Source organism: Homo sapiens, chromosome 15, assembly GCF_000001405.40.
Source record: "Homo sapiens chromosome 15, GRCh38.p14 Primary Assembly".
NCBI classification, from domain to species: Eukaryota; Metazoa; Chordata; class Mammalia; order Primates; family Hominidae; genus Homo; species Homo sapiens.
In genome coordinates this window covers 70,256,553-70,270,902 of record NC_000015.10, presented here as the reverse complement: position 1 = coordinate 70,270,902, position 14,350 = coordinate 70,256,553, and the positions used below count along the sequence as shown (strand labels likewise).

General features: G+C 54.3%; 9 annotated features.

Moving 5' to 3' along the window:
* Positions 1,208–1,886: an enhancer, noted in NCBI's record as "H3K4me1 hESC enhancer chr15:70561356-70562034 (GRCh37/hg19 assembly coordinates)". NCBI's record gives its function as "activates a minimal SCP1, AML or CMV promoter by ChIP-STARR-seq in naive H9 embryonic stem cells {active_cell/tissue: H9 hESC(naive)}" and the evidence as "EXISTENCE:reporter gene assay evidence [ECO:0000049][PMID:30033119]".
* Positions 1,874–1,923: an enhancer, noted in NCBI's record as "active region_9682". NCBI's record gives its function as "activates an Ori minimal core promoter by ATAC-STARR-seq in GM12878 lymphoblastoid cells {active_cell/tissue: GM12878}" and the evidence as "EXISTENCE:reporter gene assay evidence [ECO:0000049][PMID:35858748]".
* Positions 3,602–4,255: an enhancer, noted in NCBI's record as "H3K4me1 hESC enhancer chr15:70558987-70559640 (GRCh37/hg19 assembly coordinates)". NCBI's record gives its function as "activates a minimal SCP1, AML or CMV promoter by ChIP-STARR-seq in primed H9 embryonic stem cells {active_cell/tissue: H9 hESC(primed)}" and the evidence as "EXISTENCE:reporter gene assay evidence [ECO:0000049][PMID:30033119]".
* Positions 8,056–8,205: an enhancer, noted in NCBI's record as "active region_9681". NCBI's record gives its function as "activates an Ori minimal core promoter by ATAC-STARR-seq in GM12878 lymphoblastoid cells {active_cell/tissue: GM12878}" and the evidence as "EXISTENCE:reporter gene assay evidence [ECO:0000049][PMID:35858748]".
* Positions 8,246–8,315: an enhancer, noted in NCBI's record as "active region_9680". NCBI's record gives its function as "activates an Ori minimal core promoter by ATAC-STARR-seq in GM12878 lymphoblastoid cells {active_cell/tissue: GM12878}" and the evidence as "EXISTENCE:reporter gene assay evidence [ECO:0000049][PMID:35858748]".
* Positions 10,500–10,719: an enhancer, noted in NCBI's record as "active region_9679". NCBI's record gives its function as "activates an Ori minimal core promoter by ATAC-STARR-seq in GM12878 lymphoblastoid cells {active_cell/tissue: GM12878}" and the evidence as "EXISTENCE:reporter gene assay evidence [ECO:0000049][PMID:35858748]".
* Positions 10,750–10,829: an enhancer, noted in NCBI's record as "active region_9678". NCBI's record gives its function as "activates an Ori minimal core promoter by ATAC-STARR-seq in GM12878 lymphoblastoid cells {active_cell/tissue: GM12878}" and the evidence as "EXISTENCE:reporter gene assay evidence [ECO:0000049][PMID:35858748]".
* Positions 11,040–11,199: a silencer, noted in NCBI's record as "silent region_6608". NCBI's record gives its function as "represses an Ori minimal core promoter by ATAC-STARR-seq in GM12878 lymphoblastoid cells {active_cell/tissue: GM12878}" and the evidence as "EXISTENCE:reporter gene assay evidence [ECO:0000049][PMID:35858748]".
* Positions 11,888–11,977: an enhancer, noted in NCBI's record as "active region_9677". NCBI's record gives its function as "activates an Ori minimal core promoter by ATAC-STARR-seq in GM12878 lymphoblastoid cells {active_cell/tissue: GM12878}" and the evidence as "EXISTENCE:reporter gene assay evidence [ECO:0000049][PMID:35858748]".

Sequence of the window (14,350 nt, the reverse complement as noted above, 5' to 3'; positions counted from 1 at the left end):
AGCCTTCATATGTGTCGGTGGAGGCACTGAGGGTAGGAGGACCCAGGAGGACAAATCCGTGTTCTCGTCGGGGTGGAATTTTAATTCTAATTTCCCTAACTCGAGTTCATAAGCAAAGCCAGAGCTGCGACTGAGACTGCTATAAAAAGAAACCTCCTTGACTTTATGCCCAAGGGAGCTGTGTTCCTTAACATTTGCGAAAAGGGAGGCTTCCTGATACATGAAGAAATTACATCTGTTTTTTGGGTTAAACACACACACACACATACACACATACACACACACACATACACGAGACACACACAATGTAGACTGGCTTCCTGTGCAGACAATGTGGGCTCAGTTTTCCGGAAAATAGTTACCCAGTTAGGAAATTCTCCAGTCAAGAAAGCCCAACCAGGCCATTCAGCTCTGGGGAGGGCACTCCGAGACAATGTCTGCTGGAGAAGCACGTTCAGTTTGTGGATTACCAGTGGGCACCAACATCCCCAGCAAGCTTCTACCTGAAGAGCTGGAAGCCACCAAGGAGCTCCAACACCACAGTGTGTCCTCCTAAGTCCACCGCATGCTCCTGCCGTGCACAATGCTTTGCAAACTGTAAAGAGCTCTCCAAATGCACAGCCATTAGCCTGGAGACTGGCCCCCAAAGAAATGGGCTTGGGAAGGGAAGGGACTGTGACATCCTGAGGAAAGCAGAGGTCCTTGGCATCCTGCCATGGCTGAGGGAAGTGAGCCATGCACAACTCCCTAGCTGCGTGCCGCACCTTATAGTCTGTACAGAGATCTGTCTCTGTGGCATTCATTTGAGCCTTTCTCCATCAAAAAAAGACCTCATTACTTCTGTTTGCTAATGTGAACCTGAAGCGCAGGAGAGCTGACTCACTCCAGGTCATGCATGCAGTTAGTGGCAGAACTTCAGTTTGGGCCCATGTCTGTCTCTCCTAACCACTCTGCTCTCCAGCCTGTCATTCATTCATTCTCATCCCCCACTCATCCAAGACAAATCAAGACAGATACTGAGCAGACAGTGCACGCCCTGGAGATGGGGGCACAGGGAAGACATGAGCCTGTTTTCAAATGGCTGCATGGTCCTTCACCCTAAGGACCATGTAGCCATTAGGCAGGAGAATCAGAGGCTGAGATCTGGCCCCCTTTATTTATTGTCCAGTGACCTTTGTACTGGGCTCATGGTCATTGCTCCTGACATTTGCAAAGCACTTTACTGCAGGCAAATGCTTCCACATGCAACTTGTCAGTGGAGCTGGTGGGACCTGCATCGTGTCTCTGCTTTATAGACAAAGAAGCTGCCGTTACCGTGAATTGCCCGCCGTCCTTTGGCAGAGCTAGTGGCAAAGCCAGGCTCTGAGCTGGGCCTCCTGGCTCCAAAGCCAGTTCTCCTTCCACTCCGCCGCCTCTGAACACAGAGCAACATGGGTGAAACCTTTCATGCATCTCTCTCCTTTCCCCCTTGGCTTCTGAAACACAAGTGAGCCTAGGAAGGAGAGGTGACTGCCAGCAGCCTTTTAGGAGAGACGTTCCTGTACTCAACAGTTATTAAGTGTCCACAGCATGTGAAGCACTGCCTAGCCCATCGTGACAGCTTCAGATTGACATGATATTAGAAGGCAGCCGTGACTTGGGTACCAAAGGACTGGGAACACCAGCGTCAGGTCTCCCGCTGTGGCCACTGTCCTTTCACAGCCTCTGGGAACACCCCCATGCACACCCCGACATGGGAGGGCAGTCAGCTTCTTTCCCAGGTGCGGCCCACAAGGGCGACGGGGTGGGGACGGCCCCAGGAGAGCAGAAGCCCTCGGGGCTGCAGTGTGATTAAATTCTCTGTTGTGAGAAAGTGACACTATGATCTGATTCATACCAGTAAATATGTGATTTACATTTAATTCTGAGTAACCTTTCTGGGCTCGGCGAGGTGTGAAGGAATCTGATGGGGCCAGCTCCGTGGAGAAGGAGGCGATTCATATTCATTAAGACCTCCACATTAGCCAGCTGAAGGGTGGCAGAGCCCCAGCCCGCCCTCCTCCTCATGCCTGCCGAGGTCACGGCTGCAGGGAGGCCAGCAGTCACACTGGCTGCCACCTGGGGATGGGGGTGCAGGTTAGCGGTGAGAGCTGGAGGCACCAAGAGAAAGTGGGAGGAAAATAAACAGCAGGCCCACGAGTGACACTGTCCAGGTGATGTCGGCCCTCCAGAGTTTGCTGAATGAGTCCTATTGAGCCCTCGAGGGTGGAAGAAGAGATATTGATCGAGGAGGTGGTAGCTCTGAGAAGCCCCTGCTGCTCCCTTTGTAGGACTTACAAGGCACTATAAAGCCATCTTTGCTTCATACAGGCTTGGGGCAGAGAGAGAAATGCTAAGGAAAGAGGGTTGGGGTCTCAGGACAAGGAGAGTGGTGCTCTTGGCCCCTGAGAGCACTTGTTCAGGTTTTGATGAACTGAGCTGAGGTCACCCCAGGTGCACATGGCCCGATGAGCTTGGGAAGTGAAAGAAGTGAGCTGAGATAAGGAGGCATGCATCTCCCATGGACGAGCTCCCCAGATGTCCTTGGACCCTCCACTTGCCCGTCCTCTTAATGGGAATATCTACAATGATTAATGACAACCCCAAGAGCCTGTGTTTGTGGAATGCTTGCCGGGTGCCCACTCTGTGCAAAGCCATCTTACATGCATGCTTCTACTGAGTTCTTGCAGTAGCTTTATGGAGGAGTGACTACGAGTACTTCCAGAGCATTGACGAGGATACTGACGCCCATTTTGGGCAAATGACTCACCCTAAGTCATGTACACAGTTCGTTGCAGAGCTTCTGTTTGGACACATGTCTGTCAGACTCCAGAGCCTGCTCTCCCAACCACTGTGCTCTCTGGCCCTTCATTCATTCATTCTCGTCATCCACTCACCCAAGACAAACCAAGACAGGTACTGAGTGATGGGGGCACAAAGAAGACATGGGCCTGTTTTCAGAGAGCTCTCCATGGGGGAGAGCAGGGAGACAGATCATTATCATTCAAGGTGGCAAACATCACCTGCTCTTAGTTGGGCATGGACTTCTTAGAGTGTGCTGGGGAGAGAGAGACCACTGTGTGCTGGAGGAATCAAGGAAGGCTATCTGGAGGAGACATTTTAGAGAAAGCCTTGAAGGATAGTTAGAAGTTTGTCAGGAGATAAAAGAGAGGGCCAAAAAGTATTGGGTGTGTCTAGGAAACAGCACACATTCTGGGGCACAAAGAAGATGCTCAAAGAGGAGCCATGGGAGATGAGGCTGGAGAGGAGCCATGGGAGATGAGGCTGGAGAGTGGGCCAGGTTGTCAGGAGAGCCCAGGCAGAGGGGACAGGCAGTGGGGAGCCATGGAGGGGTTTATGCAGCGAGTGGCATGTGGGTTTGCTTCAGAATTATAGCTGTGGCAGAAGCGGATCAGAGTGAGGTGCCTGGGGGACCATGGCTTGTCCAAGGGGACACTTACCCTAGCCTCTGGTAAGTCTCTGACATTGCAATTGGTTTTTATTTGGATTGAACCTCTTTTTTCAACAGAGCAGGGGCCTAAAGCTTTGCCTAGCACTTTTCTGGGCCCTTTGAGGATACAGAAGGGAAGAGAATATGACTTTTGACCTCAGGGGCCTTTCATCCCAGTTGGGCTCCGGGCTGACCCAGAAGCCATTTGGGAAGAGTGAGCCGAAGGGCCCTGGCTGGGCCTGCCTTTGTCCCACCACAAAGGAATATGTCCAGGCTGCTGCTGATGATGTGGGGGTCATTATCTTAGAGAAGGCACTGTGAAGATGTGAAAACAAAAGGGAGGGTGTGGAGTGAGAGAGGAGGGAGTCCAGAACAGCCCTCTAAGCAACACCCACGTCTAGGAGGAAGCTGAGCTGCCCACAATCAGGGAGGAGAGCGGTGACGCCTGGGTGTCCAGCAGCTGAGGCCAGAAAGTGTGTCAAGGAGGAGGAAGTGTCGGCAGTGCCAGGCCGGGTCCATAGCCCACGTGCGATGGGGGAGGAAGGGCGTCCGCTAGATTTGGCAACAAGGAGGTCAGAGGCAGCTGTCAGAGGCCAGCCTCAGCGGCCTGGAGGGGGCCGCAGCCAGACTGAGGGAGGTGGGAGGTGAGGAAGTGGGAAACACTTGTGTAGATGCCCCCAGGTGAGAGGTTTGGCTGTGAAAGAAAAGCGGGGGTGGGACCACAGCGGGAAGGGGTCAGGAAGCCAAGAAAGGGATGCTTTCCAGAAGAGGCTGAACTTGTGGCAACACTGTTGGCCAGGAGCCACGAGAGAGGGAGGGAGCTTGGGGATGCAGCAGATAGGGGCTGATGGAAGGAGCGGTCTCTGAGGGTTAGGGAAACTGCTGCGGTGGAGACAGGGAGGAGGGCGGAAGGCGGGCGTGGGCGCAGCCGTCAGTCCACAGGTTGGGTGGCAGGACCCGAGGGCCTCTGGAGTCGTGCTGTGGAGGGTGCTGAGTCTGGGCGGCTGGGCCTGTGTGGAAGGTCATGGTGGGCCTCCAGCTATACCACTGTTGCCTTCTGCCTTTCTCAATTCACCCCTCACTCTCCTCTCCTTCTCCTGCCCCCGCCTCACATCCTGGAGAGGACAAGAAGATGTAAGGGCCTTCACCTGGTGCCCCTTGGCCTCACGGTGCTGGTGACACTGGCAGAGATGGAGAGGGGAAGCAAGGAAGCCCTGAGAAGGCTGCTGCCTGGGAGGAAGACGCCAGAGCTGCAGTGTTAACCTTGTGGGGGAGCAGGGGGTGGTGGGGGGATGAGAGCCGGTGAGGGAGTCAGGAAGCTGACGGTGTGGGGAGTAAGGAGAGTGCCTGGGTTCACTGCGCATAGGCTTGGGCAGGCTGGAGGAAGGAGCTGTGGAGAAAAGCCACAGAAAATAATTTCTCCACAGGTCCGTGGGCCCCGTGGTCCAAGGTAGAGCCAGTTTCCTCTGCAGGGAGTTTTCAGCGAGCGAGAAGAGAGGAGGAATATAGAAGACAGACTGGCCTTTCATCTGGGCTTGACATCTGCCATGCAAATTGTCACAGAATGATGATGTGGCTGAACCGGTGGCCAGATGGTCATCGTCCTCAGTGGCTGGTCATGGAGCACCCAGAGAATTGCCAGAGGGTGTCACTGCATCCCCCAGCAGGTGGAGCAACCCTCCTCCTGCCCATCTTCCTTCTCCATTCTCCAGAATGAGGCCTCTCTCCTCCAACAGGTGACAGTCACTAAGGCACGAGCCCTAGTGGGACAAAAGCATCCCCATGTGCAGGGGGCAGGGCTGGGCCTCGGGGTCAGCCAACTGGAGTCTGGCTTGGCGCTGCCCTCTGGCTTTAGCTGTTTCTGTATCCACCTCCCGTGGTGCGCTTCTTAGCCCCCTAGGTGCTGGGTCCCCAAGCCCCCTGCTCCCTCCAGGAAAGGGCTGCTGTGGTCCCCATGGGCAATTCAGTTCCTGTCTGTCTTCTTCCTTTCATAATATACACTGGGGAGAGGGGGCTGAGGTCGGGGGTGAGGACAAAGGTGGGGAGACTCATTTAGTTTTCATGAAAGTTCTACTCTCTTGGAACACTTTTGGGGGCTTGGCTGGCCTCCAGGAAGACAGAGGCAGGCAGGCCTGTTGGAGAAGGTTGTCCAGTGTGTGCACTGCTCAAAGGCACCTGGTGGGGGCTGGGTCAAGTGGGACCTGAAACCCACCCTAGGCCCACTGGTCAAGCCCTGGTATGGGCTGTGTCTGCCCAGAGGAGGAGCCTTTTCTAATTCACACGAAGGCGTTGTATAGGCTGGCTGACTCCTCCAAAGGTTGGAGCGTGTGCCTGGGAAGCTCCACACACCTATCCTCAGCCAGGTGGGTCAAGGGGACCTCCAGGTCAAAGGCCTGTAACAAGAACCTTCTGGCAACCTGCATATGCAGCTCAAGTGGCCAGAGGAGGGCTGGGAATTGGAGGATTTCCAACCTATAGGTCCCTTGGAGAGGTCAGGGTGGAGCGTGGGGTGGAGTGAGGGTGGGGCAGGAGCCGGCGTTGGGGAGGACCTAGGAGTGTAGGTTCGTGGCCAGGATAGGAGGAGTGAACAGAACAGAGATGACAGCACTGGCTGGGGAGTGCTGGGCCTGGCTCCTGCACTCCTGGGACACTCCTGGGAGACTCTTGGCAAGTTGCTTTTCCTCCCTGTGCCTCAGTTTCTTCATCTGACAAATCTAGAGGGAGGGAATAGACCAGGGCAATGACATGCATTTAGTCACAGGAGACAGAGTTGGGTCTGCAACTTTGACATGTCCTGGGGTCTGGGCTTGGATTTCAGTCGCCCTCCCTCCCGCCTACCCACCATCTCTCTCTTTCCTGAAAGGAAGGGAAACAAACCAGAAAGGGATCTGCCTCCTTTGCGGCGGGGTTTCGGGTGGGGGCGGTGGGGGGGTTCCGTTTCCATCAGCCCCTGGAGGAGCAAGAGGAACAGGAAAATTACAGTATCAGCATGGAAACTACAATTGGAGGCGTCTGATTCACCAGGGAGGGTGACTCGTTCCTCTTTTTTTATTTTTAGTCGCTATTATGTCGGCAAGGAGGCCTGTGCTCATTAACCTGTATTGCCAGAGCAGAGACTGCGAAACCGCTGGTGAATAAACCTGCCCCAGCTGCCCCCTCTGCTCCCATCAGTTATTTATAGCCTGCCTTCCCTCTGGTGAATTAATTAACTTGTACTTGAGGCCTTGGACAGTATTGTGTTTAGTTGGATGTCTGTGTGGAGGCCAGTGCTGGAAGCGGGTAGCAGGAGTGGAGTAGGCTGGAAGGCGGGGCTGCTGGCTGCCCCCAGCCCTGCAGTCAATCTTCCTCACTCCAGCTCTGAGCTCCCCCGCAAGCCACTCCCATGCATGGCAGAGGAGGATTGAGGGGTCACTTGTACCGCAGCTTCACTGCTTAGAGCCTTGGAGCTTTGGGATTTTAAAAGCCAGTTTGACAACGTACTAGGACAAAAAAAAAAAAAAAAAGTACATCCTTTCCTCTCAGCAGGAAAGCAAGGGCCCAAGAGGTAAAGCTCCAAAAATCTCTGGGCCAGAGCAACGCAGGCTGAAAGCTGTATCCCACAGGCAGGGGTTCCCTGGAGGGCTGGGAGGAGAGATGAGGCTGGAGGACGTTTCCAGAAAAGGCAGGGAGAAGCGGGGTGCATCAGCATGGACTTCAAGTCTGTGAGAAATGCCCAGGACCTCAAACCCAGCCTCCTCAAGTGAGAGGCAGCATCTTGTTCAACCATTCATTAATTAATTGGTTCATTTCTTCATTCAATAGCATTTGTAAACTCCCCAGTGTGTAGATGAATGCTGAGCTAGATTGTCCCTGCACTTGTCGCAAACCTTCTTTGTCTGCTTGTACACACCCCTCTACACTCCCTGTCTAGTAGGGAGCCAGTGTCTAGCCAGTGAGGATAACGTCCACTGATTGGTCGCCTCTGTATTGCCAGAAGCACCTAGCCCAATGCTGGGCACATGGTAGGATTCAGTTATCGTTTGGGGACTTCCTTGTCTCAGGTTTCCTAAGGAGACAAGGACTATAAGCAATGCCAGCCACCACCTCCCCCAACTCCCCATCAGCATCCCCAAGGCTGCCCTAAACACACACAGTCCATATAGAAATGGAGTCCTGGCCTTGTCAATGCAACATCGATGCCAGTCCCCTAGGAGCCCCCATCTCCTACCCCCAGATGGCCTCTCCTGTATCCCAGAGCCCTCTCCCCTATCCAAGCTAGATCCCAGGTTCTGACCTCCAGTGCAGGCTTCTGGACAAGGGCACCCCTGGGGGTCATCTCTTGTCACTGCTCACAAGCCCCACCCAAGCCCAAGGCCCCAGACACCCACTGTCCAGGCTCACAACCACTTGCTCCCAAAGCAGGCAGCTGGCCAGGCGCTGGTCATGTGGAGGGGCTACTCTTGGAGTCACATGTCTCCTGACAGAAGTGGACATCCTGCTTCCTTTCTCCCCTGGCAGTGCTGACTCCTAGAGGAAGGGGATTGAAAGGGGCTAAGCCTTGGACTTCACCCATGAAATTCAGCGCATTTACTTTTCAGGCCTCTTTGCACCACTGCTCACCAGGTGCTCACAGCCAGCAAGTGCCAGGCAGCCTGATTGTTGCTCTGGGGCTCCGTCCTGCACCCCGGAAGTGGCCTTCTGGGGTAGGCTTGTGACCCAGCCCTCCACACCAGCCTGGAAAGTTTGGAGGTCGGGCTCCCACCCTCTCTCAGCACCTTGAATGACCTTGCTGAGTATTGATGATGAGTTCTCATCAGCACTAGTGATAATATGAAAATCACTATAATTAGAGCTGGCAGGTTGGTCTTGCTCTGCATTAGAGATGATGTGAATTGCTTATAGGGGAATTCCCCACCCCCAAGTCCCACCCCACCTGGGAGAAGAGCTTCACACCCCAGACCTGGCTCTCTCCAGCTCTCCAGTCTCCCCTGGGCCCCCGGGGCCAAGGCCAAAGTTCTCTGGGCACAGTTTTGTGCCCAAAAATTACCCCTTATGCCTGCAATTTTCCATTTGCACCTTCAAAATAGAGTGCAACTGGCTAATTGCCATGGCAATTAGGTAATTGCAGGTGCAATTAACATCTTTCCAGCAAAGCAGGGGGAGAGGGAGGGGAGACAGGGGAAGAGAGAAACAGTGAGAGGAAATGCAGGAGCCTGCAAGACAGACCAAGAGGTTGTGAGAGAAAAACCGAGGGGATGGGGAGAGAAAACAAGAGTGGGTGGGCAAGGAGAGAGATGGGATGGCTAGAAAGAAGAAAGGTGTGTGTACAAAGAAAAATACATCAATAAGACTCAGCCACTGTCTTGGAGGAGCTGATGGCCTAGAGGTGAGAAGGAGGCCCAGAGCAGAGCAGGAAGGTGGATGTGGAGCATTCCAGCCTGGTGGCACCGGGAAGCTTTCCCAGGGAAGGTGGTGCCTGAGCTGAGCCTGGAGAAGGGCTTCTATAGGTGGGCAAAGGGAGGCGGGAGTCCTGGTGGTTATATCAGCATGAGCCAAGGTCCAGAGGTGTGTGAGCCCAAGTATGCCCCATAGGACTTCCTGCCATAATGGGAATGTTCCAGACCTGCACTGCCCAGGCCAGTAGCCACCAGCCATGTGTGGCTATTGAGGACTCAAAATGTGGCTAGTGCTATTGAGGAATTGGATTTTTAATATTATTTAACCCTAAATTGAAATTTAAATAGTCACATATGCTCCGGTATTGATCCACACAGACCACAGAGGAATGGGAATGGGGCCTGGATGCCAGGGAAAGGCCCCATAGCAGCTGTCCCCCTCCTAGTCCAGGGGACTGGAGAGGTGGCATCAGGTACCGAGATGGGGAGGACAGAAGAGGGGTTGAGAAGAATGGGTTGGGGCACCACATGTTTGGATGAAGACTTGTTCACCATGAGGAGATGGTTAGGGAACCATGGCAAGTTTGGGATTGAAGCCCCTGTCCCTGCCCTCCCTTCCCTCAGTACCCTTGTCGCTGTAGAGGTGTCTCCTTCCTGGTGTCTCATTTGGGGAAAGCTCCACACTCATTCTCTACACGGTTTGGGAGAAGGAGAGGACTGTGCCTCTCCCTGTCCCTCCAGCCCCACTGTCCCTAGGCCCAGCCCCAACCCAGCAGCCCAACTGCCTTTACAGCAAAATAAGCTTCAGTGAGGTCACGTGGACTCAGGGCAGCCACACACACTCATACGTATCCACACTCAAACATACAAATACATATGGTCACACCATCACCCCTGGACACACTCATACAAGCACACACACCCTCAAATCCAAGTGCACACAGCCTCACAGACAACACACACACAAGTGCTTGGGGCAGTGTTTACAAAGCCCTGGAGGGGCTGGGAGGCTCCCGCCCTGTGCAGGTGGTTGGAGGTGTGGATCACCATTAGCACCAGTGACATTCAAGGACAGAGCCCAGAGACCCACTGCAGGGGTGCCTTCATTGGGTCCCCTTTCCCTTTCTCACCTTTCAGCTGGAAAGGCTCTGGCCAGGCCCGGGCTGCGAACACCAGGCTACATTTGGGGAGGGGTGTGGCCCCAGGACTGCGCTGTGGTGCACCCTGCCTCACCCTTGCCATCTCGTCACCCTCTCTCCCAGCCTCCTGCCCCACTGCTCCTTTGCACGCTCTGCCTGCCTGACATCTCTCTCTGTCTCCTCTCTCTCTTTCTCGTTCCCACTCTCTCCTCCCTCCCCTTGCTTGGGTCCTTCCTAATCTCCTTCCCTCACAGTGTCTGGTTCCCTCTCCTGTGCTAGAACCAAACCTTCCAACCCATGAAACTCCAACCCTAGGGCTGCCGCACCAGACTTCTGGAATGTTCTCCTTTGCTGATGTTGTGGCCTGGCTGTGAAAGCCCCTAGGACCTGAGAACAGGACTCTCTGGACTGCAGCAGCAGAATGAGTGTGGTCAGTGTCTAGGCCAGCAGAGGGGACAGCAGGCCTTGTGGAAGACAGAGGGTGAAGACCCTTCACGCAGTCCATTGTCTGAGTGTGCACATATGTGCCTGTGTGTGTCTGCACGCTCACGCACATATGCACATAAACTCTCTACCCTGGAGACTAGAGGGAGCTGTGTGGGTAACTCACTGGGAGATCTTGAGCAAGTCACCACCCACCTCCAGGTTGCAGTTTCCTTTCTCTGAAACAAAGATCATTGTCTGGTCCTGGTGTGCAGAGTCCTTGGGAAGGGCTGGGGAGATGCCCCCCAGAACAGCTTGGCTTTGGTTGGGCTGAAATAGATTTTACTGGAAAGCAAAGCACTGTGGCTAAAGCACAATGCATGGTCACACAGGTACCTTCCCTCCCTGGAATCCTATAATGCAATGAGTCCCTACTGGTTTTTTTTCCCCAGCCTTACCCCAGCCCTACCCAGTGCTTGACACAGGCCTGGGCATAAAGGAGTTGGTCATCCAGAGGAGGCCCGGAGGTAGCCTGTGGGTGGTCTGTCTGTCTGCCCTCTTGTGGTTGGTGCTGCTCAGGTCCCGGTAGACGGTGGGAGTTAGAAGCCCAAGGCCCTGCACCAGGATGCAGAAATGGGGAGGCAGCAGTTGGTACAGGAAGAACATGGCTTCACACACTCAGTCCCAAACCCACCTGCCTCACGGCCAGGCATTGAGATTGCACCCACCTCTCTCACACCCCATTCTCAAGCTGCACATCCTCATTTTGTGGCTACACCCGTGCACATGCGGGCACACACACACCTCCAGGTCAAGGCAGCCCTCCATGTTGATTTCAACTTGATTTCATCTGTATAAATGCCAGGCACAAAAAGCACAGCATGGAGCTGTCCTTCAGAAGCCCGTTTGAATTTCCCCAAAGATAATCCATTAGATAGGGAGTGGGGGAGGCACACAGGACAGAAGAAACAACAGAAATCCCATCTGTTTAAGGAAAAAAGGCATTTATTAAATGATTTTCAGTTGAGCCCTTGGTCAGTCTCTGCGAGGACTAGAGACCCAAACATAAAGGCCACACCACCAGGACCCAATCCTAAAGCCACCCTGTAGGACTGGCCATGGGGTCACCACGGTACTCTCAGCCAGCACACTTTCTACCATGGACGCTGGGCACCGGGTGCCAACCCTGAGTCCCGCCCACAGCTGCCCCTGGGAGAGGGGGCCCAGCAGCTGGCACTCCTGCTGGACGGGGGTCTCACAGCATCTGCTTCTTCAGACGCCTGACTGCAGGCTGAGGTCCCACGTGAGCATATCTGCTAGCAGAGCTGAGGTCACGTGACTGAGCTCTGGCTGCCGAGGAGCAGGAAAACCAGTAAGTGGCAGCTGCCTTAGAAGCGAGAAACTCACACGTGAGGAATTCCCAGGCAGAGGGAAGAACAAGTAGGCAGAAAGATGGACAAATGGCCCAGCACCCCAGACGGCCTGGGCCCTCTGCACAGCCTGACCTGCTCTAACCACTCACCTCTCCAGCCCCTCACTGAGGACCCAATCTGGTTGCCACCCTCGTCCCTTCCGCCTGGTTTCTAGAGCCTCCAACCTCATGAGCTGGCCCAGCCAGGCCCTCTGCCTTTGGGGCCCCAAGAGCACAGCAGGCTTCCAGGGCTGGTGAGGCGGGGGCGTCAGCAAACCACAGGCCATGCCTTTCCGGTGACATTTGGCTCAGGCTGGGGTTGAGGTCGGCTTCAGACTCAGTGAGAGAAACACACACCACCCCGCAAGCTTCCTCTAAGAAGGGCTCCGAGAGGAGAGGGCTGCATCTTGTGCAGGCAGGAGAGTCAGGGGTGGAGCAAGGGATGCCCGGCTTCTGACTACCATGCTGTCTACCTGTCATGGCAGCAGTGGCAGCTGACGACCACCAAGTACTCGCCACGTTTCTGGCGCTGTGCCAAGCATGCAACTCTTAACGTCCTGGCAGCACCTGAGTTAGGACCCACTGTCTCCATGTTACAGATGAGGAAACCGAGGCAAAGAGAGGTTAAATAACTCACCTGGGGCCACTGGCTACTGAGTGGCGGAACCAGGATTTGAACCCAGTCTGGTCCAGAGCCCTTCACCACTTTGTTAAATGGCCCCTCGGTTTATTTATCCTCTCTGTCCCTCTGTTTTTCCCTCTAAAAGAAGAGCCCCAGGTGGCCAAGGGACATGGAGTAGTGGAGGAGCACCCAGCTCACAGCTTTTCCCTCTAAAAGATGAGCCCCAGGTGGCCAAGGGACATGGCGTGGTGGAGGACCACCACGTGTGTGAGCACCAGCTCACAGATGGTGACTTAGGGTTTCCACCCTGCTCTGCTTTCCCTTGGCTGTGGACCCTGGGCAGTTAGTTAACTTCTCTGAGACTTAGTTTTTCTCACCTGAAATGTAGAGCAATGAGGTCTACCTGCAGGAAGTTTGTGGGAGCAATGAAGTTGTGGGTGCCTCGCACCTGGCAGGTGCTCAGGAAATGCAGGACCAAAAGCACTCAAGCCTGAACCCCTCAGATGGCCCCTGGGTAAGGAAACGCTGCAGCTCCCCCAACCACCCAGCAATACCTGAGTCTCAGACACCCAGTGAGATGGGAGACCACGAGCCCAGCCTGAGGAGCCATCCTTGCTAGGCCATATGACCAGCTCCCTGAGCTAGGTCTCACGGAAGTCGCTTTGTGCCCCTGCCCCCATGTGTCCTGTGTCACTACCCAGTCCTTCCTGTCATGAGGAAGCAGCCACATGCCCTCCTCACCCTGGACCTTGGGGCCCTCAGGACCAGCTCTTCCTTTGAAAAGAGGAAGATGGAAGGCAGCAATTCTTAGCCTCACCAGGAAAATGCAGCCTGCCGCTCTCCTATTGGAATCAAGGTTGTCTAGATTGGGTAGGTGGGGGTGGGATAGTTGTGGGTAGGGGAATTTTGAATTCAGGAGTCCCTCAGGTCAGAAAAAACAATTTTGGCTGGGCGTGGTGGCTCATGTGTGTAATCCCAGCACTTTGGGAGGCCGAGGCAGGAGGATCACTTGAGCCCAGAAGTTCGAGATCAGCCTGGGTAACATAGAAAGACCTCTTCTTAGAGGTCTTCTTAGAATCTTACACCTAGGAGGGCAAGGGATCTTTTGTCTTGCACCCCTCCCTCCTGAGCTGTGGTGGCTGCCTCCCTAGAACACTGCTGACTGTGTCCGGACTTAGGGAGAAAGAGCACTGTGATTGATTAGCGATGTCTGCCTTGGGCAGGGGATGAGACATACATAGTCTGTATTTGCCATCCTGTATCTAAATATCTGCCCATGAGGCCTGAAACCCATTCTCTTCCAGTCCTCCCTCCTTTACTCTCAAGTTCCCTAGAACAAGCCATCTCTCATCTAAGACATTGCCCAAACAGAACTCTTCCATAGCCTCCACCGACTGCATGGCTGTTTTGTTTCTCATGCATTTCTCCCAGATGATGAAAACCTAGACCAGCGGTTCTCAACTGGAAGCAATTTTGCCCCCCAGGTGACATTTGGCGATGCCTAAAGACATTTCTGGTTGTCAAAACTGGAAGGGTGGGGGTGGGGTGCTTCTATAGGTATCTAGTGGATGGAGGCTAAAGATGCTGTTAAGCATCCCACGATGGACAGGGAAACCTCCTACAACGGTTGAATTTGGCTCAAACTGTCAGGAATGCTCAGGTTGAGAAGCCCAGGTCTAGAGAATAGACTGCTTTCTTGCTCCCACTAGAGTGATCTGTTGGGCTCCCAGCCCAGCACCCCTAACCCTTCAAGCCGGGATCAACCTCCCTCTCTCATTCACAACTTCATCCATCACTGAGACCCCTGGGTTCCTCGGCATGGTTCACAAATCCTTTCAGGATCTCCCTCCACCCCAGATCTCACCTCTCACCCAAGTGTTCTTCCACCCACTTGCTCTTCCCTGCACCGCC